Below are 7,619 nucleotides of genomic sequence, written 5' to 3'. Positions count from 1 at the left end.
AACCAACCTCTACCAAAATTACTATGTGCATTCAAGCAGTTTTACATGGAAGAAAAGGACAAAGAGAAAAAGAAAATAGAACAAACAAACATTTTATGATTTTTATAATATAGGCTCAGTTACATGGTAACAAATTCAAATTCTTCATGGAGCCAACAGATGTCAGAAAAATATCCAAAATTTAGAAATAAGCAAAAGAGATTATTGGAAGTTTGTTTTGAATACGTTTGATTTTGACCCTCTGTTAACTGCCTAATTTTTTATATTTTAGTTTTTGTAGGTGTATAGTAGGTGTATATATTTATGGAGTATATGGGATATTTTGAAAGAGGCATACAATGTATTTTAATCACATCAGGGTAAATGAGGTATTCCTCACCTCATGCATTTATCCTTTATGTTACAAACAATTCAATTATACTATTTTAGGTATTTGAACATGTACAATTAATTTATTATTTAAGATAGTCACCTTGTTGTGTTATCAAATAACAGATCTTATTCATTCTAACTATATCTTTGTGTACATTAACCACCCCCACTTCTCCTCCCCACCTGCCCATTACCCTTTCCAGCTTCTGGTAACCATCATTCTACTCTATCTCGATGAGTTCATTTTTTTAATTGTTCGTTCCCACAAATAAGTGGAAACACTCAAAGTTTGTCTTTCTGTGCCTGGCTTGTATATGTCACATAACATAACGACCTCCTGTTCCATACATATTGTTGCAAATGACAGGATCTTATTCTTTTTTATGGCTGAATGACACTCCATTGTGTACACGTATCCCATTTATTAAAAAAAAAAGATTCATCTGTTCATGGACACTTGGGTTGCTTCCAAATGCAAGTATTGTGAACAGTGCTGCAAGAAACATGAGAGTGCACGTATCTCTCCCCTATACTGATTTCCTTTCTTTTGGGTATAGACCCAGCAATAGATATGGTAGCTCTATTTTTAGTTTTGAGCAACCTCCCTAGCATTCTCCATAGTGGTTGTACTAATTTATATTTCCACCAACAGTATACAAGGGTTCCCTTTTCTGCACATCCTCACCAGCATTTATTATTGCCTGTCTTTTGAATAAAAGTCATTTTAACTGGGGTGAGATGATCTCTCATTGTAGTTTTGATTTACATTTCTCTAAGGATCAGTGATATCATGCACCTTTTCATATACCTGTTTGCTGTTTATATGTCTTCTTTTGAGAAATGTCTAGTCAGCTCTTTTGCCCATTTTTAAATTGGATTATTAGGTTTTTTTCCTATAGAGTTGTTTGAGCTCCTTATATATTCTGGTTATTAATCCATCATCAGATTAGTAGCTTGCAAATATTTTCTCCCATTCCATGGGTTGCTTTAATGCTCCCATTCCTTATTGATTGCTTCTTTTGCTGTACGGGAAGTTTTTAACTTGGCGTGATCCTATTTGTCCATTTTTGCTTTGGTTGCCTGTGCCTGTGAGATTTTACTCAAGTAATCTTTGCCCAGTTCAATGACCTGAGGTGCTTCCCTAATGTTTTCTTGTAGTAGTTTCATAGTTTGAGGTCTTAGATTTCAGTCTTTAATACATTTTGATTAGATTTTTGTATATGACAAGAGACAGGGGTTTACTTTCATTCTTCTGCTTATGGATATCCAGTTTTCCCAGGACCATTTTATTTAAGAAACTGTCCTTTCCCTATTGTATGTCCTTGGTTCCTTTGTCAAAAATGAGTTCACTGTAGATGTATGGATTTGTCTCTGGGCACTCTATTCTGTTTCTTTTCTCAATGTGTCTGTTTTTAATGCCAGTACCATGTTGTTTTTGTTACTATAGCTCTATAGTATAATTTGAAGTCAGGTAATGTGATTCCTCCAGTTTTGTTCTTTTCGCTCTGGATAGCTTTTGCTATTCTGGGTCTTTTGTGGTTCCATATAAGCTTTAGGATTATTTTTTGTATTTCTGTGAAGAATGTCATTGGTATTTTGATAAGAATTGCATTGACTCTGTAGATTGCTTTGGATAGTATGGACATTTTATGGATTCTTCCAATCCATAAATATGGAATCCATTAATATAAAATATTCTTTAACTTATGATTGCCTTCTTCAGTTTCTTGCATAATATTTTATAGTGTCCATTAGAGAGATCTTTCATTTCTTTGGTTAAGTTTATTCCTAGGTATTTTATCTTATTTGTTGCTATCGTAAGTGGGATTATGTTTTAATTTCTTTTTCAGATTATTCACTATTGGCATATAGAAGTGCTACTGATTTGTGTAGGTTGATTTTGTATCTTGCAACTTTATTGAATTTGTTTATTAGTACTAATAGTTTTTTGGTGGAGTCTTTAGGTTTTTTCATATAAAAGATTATATAACATGCAAACAAGGATAATTTGATTTCTTCCTTTCCAATTTGGATGCCTTTATGTTTTTCTTTTGTCTGATTGCTCCAGCTATGACTTCCAGTACTATGTTGAATAACAATGATAAAAGTGTTCATCTTGGTTTCCTTTAGAGGAAAGGTTTTCAGTTTTTCCTGTATGGAAAACTGAAAAACCTTTTTCCTGAAAAAGGTTTTCAGTTTTTACTAGTATGACAGTAGCTGTGGGTCTATCATATGTGGCTTATTATGTTGAAGCACATTTCTTCTATACCTAGTTTTTTAAGGGCTTTTATCATGAAGGGATGTTGAATTTTTTCAAATGTTTTTCCACATCAATTGAAGTTGTCATATAATTTTGGTCCTTTGTTGATATAATGTATCACATTGATTAATTTGTGTATGTTGAACCATCCTTTCATCCTTCAGATAAATCCCACTTGGTCATGATGAATGATCTTTTTAATTTGTTGCTGAATTCAGTTTGCTAGTATTTTGTGGAGGATTTTTGCATCAATGTTAATTAAGGATAAAAACCTGTAGTTTTTTTTTTTTTAATGTGTCTTTGTCTGGTTTTGATGTCATGGTAATACTTGCCTCACAGATTGAGTTAGGAAGTACTCCCTCTTCCTCTATTTTTTCAGAATATCCTGCATAGGATTGGTAATAGTTCTTCTTTAAATGTTTAGTGAAACTCCGCAATAAAGTCATAGGGTCCTGGGCTCTTCTTTGCTGGGAGAATTTTTTTTATGGCTTTGATCTCATTACTTGTTATTTCTCTATTCAGGTTTTGGATTTCTTCATGGTTCCATCTTCGTAGGTTATATGTGTCCAGGAATTTATTCATTTCTCCCAAGTTTTCCAATGTTTGACATATAGTTGCTCCTAGTGGCTTCTCATGATCCTTTGAACTTTTGCAGTATCTATTGTCATGTCTCCATTTTAATCTCTAAATTTATTTATTATAGTCTTATCTCTTTTTTCTTAGTTGGCTAAAGGTTTGTCCATCTTGCTAGGCTTTTAAAAAAAGAACTTTTCATTTTATTGGTCTTTTGTGTTGCTTTCTTCATTTCAATATCATTTATTTCTGCTCTGCTCTTTATTATTACTTTTCTTCTACTAATTTTGAGTTTGGTTTATTCTTGCCTTTCTAGTTCTTTAAGATGCATCACTAAATTATTTATTTGATGTTTTTCTTCTTTTTTGATGCAGGTGCTTATAGCTCTATACTTTCCTCTTAGTATGGCTTTTACTGCATCTCATAGGTTTTGGTATGTCATGTTTCTCTTATCATTTGTCTCAAGAAATTTTACAGTTTCCTCATAACTTCTTCATTGACCCAGTGGTCATTCTGAAGCATCTAGTTTAATTTCCATATGTTTGTATACTTAACAAAATTTCTCCTGTTATTGATTCCTGCTTTTATTCTATTGTGGTCAGAGAAGACACTTAATATTATTAATTTTTTTGGAATGTTTTAAGACTTGTTTTGTTGTCTAACATATGGTCTTTCTTTGAGAATGAGCCATGTGCTGAGGAGAAGAATACTGTGTATTCTGCAGCCATTGGATGAATTATATCTATTAGGTTCATTTGGTCTACAGTGCAGAGTAAGTCCAATGTTTCTTTGTTGATTTTCTGTCAGCTCTGTCAAATGCTGAAAGTGGGGTGTGGAAGTCTCATTATTATTTTATTGGGGTCTGTCTCTCTCTTTAGCTCTTTAGTATTTCCTTTATATATCTCTATGCCCCAGTGTTGGGTGTATATATATTTAAAATTGCTTTCCTTTTTCTGAATTGAATCCTTTATCATTATATAATAACCTTCCTTGGCTTTTTCTATTCTTTTGTCTTGAAATTTATTTTTTTCTGTTATAAGTATAGCTACTCCTGCTCTTTTTTGGTTTCCCATTTGCATGGAATATCTTTTACCATGTCTTTATTTTCAGTCCATATGTGTCTTTATAGGTGAAGTGTTTTTCTTGCAGGCAACAGATCATTGGGTCTTGTTTTTTTTCCCCTATTCATCCACTCTATGTCTTTCAATTGAAGAATTTAGTCCACCTACATTTAATGTTATTGTTGATAGGTAAGGACTCATCCCTTACTCCTGCCATTTTATTATTTGTTTTTTGATTGTTTTGTGGTTTTCCTTTCCTTCTTTCCTTCCTTCCTGTCTTCCTTTTAGAGAATGTAATTTTTTTCTGGTGATATGTTTTAATTTTTTGCTTTTTGGTTTTTCTGTATCCATTGTATGTTTTTAGATTTGAAGTTACCATAAGTATTGCAGATAATATCTTATAGCCCATTATTTCAAACTGATAACAACTTAATACTGATTGCATAAACAAACAACTAACAAGGAAAAGGAAAACTAGTAGAAAATCGACACTTTAACATACTCTCCCTTCATTTTAACTTTTTGTTGTTTCTATTTATGTCTTTTTGTACTGTCTATGTCTTGAGAAGTTGTTGTAGTTATTAGTTTTGATTAGTTCATCTTTTTTCTTTCTACTTAAGAGATGAGTAGTTTATATAACATAATTATAGGTTAGAATAGTCTGTGTTTTTCTGTGTGCTTACTATTACCAGTAAATTTTTAACCTTCAGATGATTTCTTATTGCTCATTAACATCCTTTTCTTTCATATTGAAGAACTCCATTTAGCATTTCTTGTAGGACTGGTATTGATGAAATCCTTCAGCTTTTGTTTGTGTGGGAAAGTATTTATCCTTCATGTTTGAAGGGTATTTACACTGGATATACTATTGTCGGATAAAAGTTCTTTTTCCTCCAACACTTTAAATATGTGATTCCACTCTCTCCTTTCCTGTAAGATTTTCACAAAAAAGTCTGTGCCAGGAATATTAGAACTCGATTTTATGTTGTTTCTTTTCTCCTGCTGCTTTTAGGATTCTTTCTTTATCCTTGACCTTTGGAAGTTTGATTATTAAATGTCATGAGATAGTCTTCTTTGAGTTAAATCTGCTTGGGGTTCTATAAGCTTCTTGAACTTGAATATTGATATCTTTCTCTAGGTTTAGGAAGTTCTGTTATTATCTCTTTGAATAAACTTTCCAGCCTTATCTCTTTCTCTCTACCTCCTCTTAAAGGCCAATAACTCTTAGATTTGCTCTTTTGTGGCGTGTGTGTGTGTGTGTGTGTGTGTGTGTGCATAGCTAGCTGAGGTTTTATTTTGGGGAAAAAATTGTTTTGTAGCTGGATTCATGGGCAAGGGGGGTGCCATAGGCAGTAAGCTGCCCCTGCAGGTGGGCTGAAGGCTAGGGCTGAACCTCAGGTGGGTCTTGCATTCCCCTGCACAGCTGCCTCCCCCATGGGCTCTGAGACAGCTGCAGGATGGGTAGCCTGGGAAGGGCTGCCATGGCTGTTCACTTGGGCAGGACATCAGAGGACTTTGACACCAGCATCCCATTGTGGGTCTTGATCCTCTTCACAACCATGGCCCTGATGGAGCTGGTGCAACTAAAGGAGGTGGAGCCCATGCCAGAGCCAAAGCTGGAGACCAGGCCATAGCTGAGGCTGGGGCTTGTGACGTCCCCATAGGCTGAGCTCAGCCCACCTGCATAGCCACTGGTGGTCTTCATATGGATACTCATGTTCTGCATGTTCTGCATCCCCAACTCCAGCCAGCTCTCCATGCCCTCCAGCAGCTTTCTGTAGGTGGCAATCTCAATGTCCAGAGCCAGCTGGATTTCATCAGCTCCTGCCACTCATGCAGCTGCTGTACCATGTCCTGCTTGGCCCACTGCAGGGCGGGCCCCAGCTCATACAGCTTGGTGTTGGCATTCTTAACAGCCAGCTCCCCATGCTGCTCAGCATCTGTGATGACGGCCTCCAGGAAAGCCCTCTGGCCTTTGAGGCCCTCTATCTCAGCCTGGAGCCAGTTGATGTTCCCATTCATCTCAGAGATCTCCATCTTTGTATGACACAGGTCATCCCCATGCTTCCCAGCAAGCATCTCCAGCTCCTCATATTTGATCTGGTACATGCTCTCAGCCTTGGCCTAGCTGCATAGGCGATCTCTTCATACTGGGCCTTGACATCAGCGATGATGCTGCCCATGTCCAGGGAGCAGCTGTTGTCCATGGACAGAACCACAGACGTGTCCAAGATCTAGGACAGCTCCCGGATCTCCTCTTCATACAGCTGCCTGAGGAAGTTGATCTCATCAGTCAGCCCTTCCAGGTGAGACTCCAGCTCTGCCTTGTTCATGTAAGCGTCATCTACAACCTTCTTGATGAGGACAAATTCATTCTCCATCTCTGTACGCTTATTGATCTTATCCTTATATTTGTTCTTGAAGCCCTCCACTAGCCCCTGCATGCTGCCAAGCTCTGCCCCCAGCTTCAGGTTCTCCTGACCCAGAGTCTCCAGCTGCCGCTGAAGGTTGTTGATGTAGCTCTGTAACATGCTGTGCATGTTACTCAGAGTCATCTTCTGCTGCTGCAGAAGGCTCCACTTCGTCTCCAGCATCTTGTTCTGCTGCTCCAGCAACCATACCTTGTCAATGAAGGAGGCAAACTTGTTGTTGAGGGTCTTGATCTGCTCCTTCTCCTGGGTGCACATGGCCTGGATGTTGGGGTCCACCTGCAGGTTAAGGGGGCTCAGCAGGCTCTGGTTGACTGTGACAGCTGTGATGCCTCCCTTGCTGCTGGCCCCATCACAGCCTCTGCCCAGGCCATCCCAGAAGCTGCTGCTGCCCACTCGGGAGAAGCTTGAGAAACTGATGTGGACACCAGGCCCACTTGTGTAGGAGTTGCTGCTGAAGGCCCGGGGGCCAGAGGTGAACACCTTGTAGAACTTCTGGGTCACCCTGATGGACATGGTGGAGGCAGGAGTGGAGACAGGTGGCCTGAACCCAGTGGAGATACAAGGAAGAATGGATAAGCTGCTTCTCACGGCTGTTTTCTAGATCTTGTAGTAATGCTTCATTGTTTTTTATTCTTTTTTCTTTTAACTCCTGTGACCATATTTTCAAATAGCCTGTCTTCAAGCTGATTAGTTCTTTCTTCTGCTCTATCAATCCTGCTATTAAGAGACTCTGACAAATTCTTAGGTACATCAATTGCATTTATTAACTCCAGAATTCCTGGTTGATTCTTTTTTATTATTTCAGTTTCTTTGTTAAATTTATCTGATAGGATTCTGAATTCCTTCTCTGTGTTATCTTGAACATATTTGAGTTTCTTCAAAACGGCTATTTTGAATTCCCTGTCTAAAAGGTCACATATC

At 37.6% G+C, this 7,619-nt stretch overlaps 1 pseudogene; it reads right to left on the bottom strand.

Moving 5' to 3' along the window:
- On the bottom strand, positions 5,573 to 7,283 carry KRT8P25 (keratin 8 pseudogene 25; annotated as a pseudogene).

Source organism: Homo sapiens, chromosome 3 (genome assembly GCF_000001405.40).
Source record: "Homo sapiens chromosome 3, GRCh38.p14 Primary Assembly".
Lineage (NCBI taxonomy): Eukaryota > Metazoa > Chordata > Mammalia > Primates > Hominidae > Homo > Homo sapiens.
The sequence above is the reverse complement of the archived record's forward strand: the minus strand, read 5'-3'. Positions and strand labels throughout refer to the sequence as shown.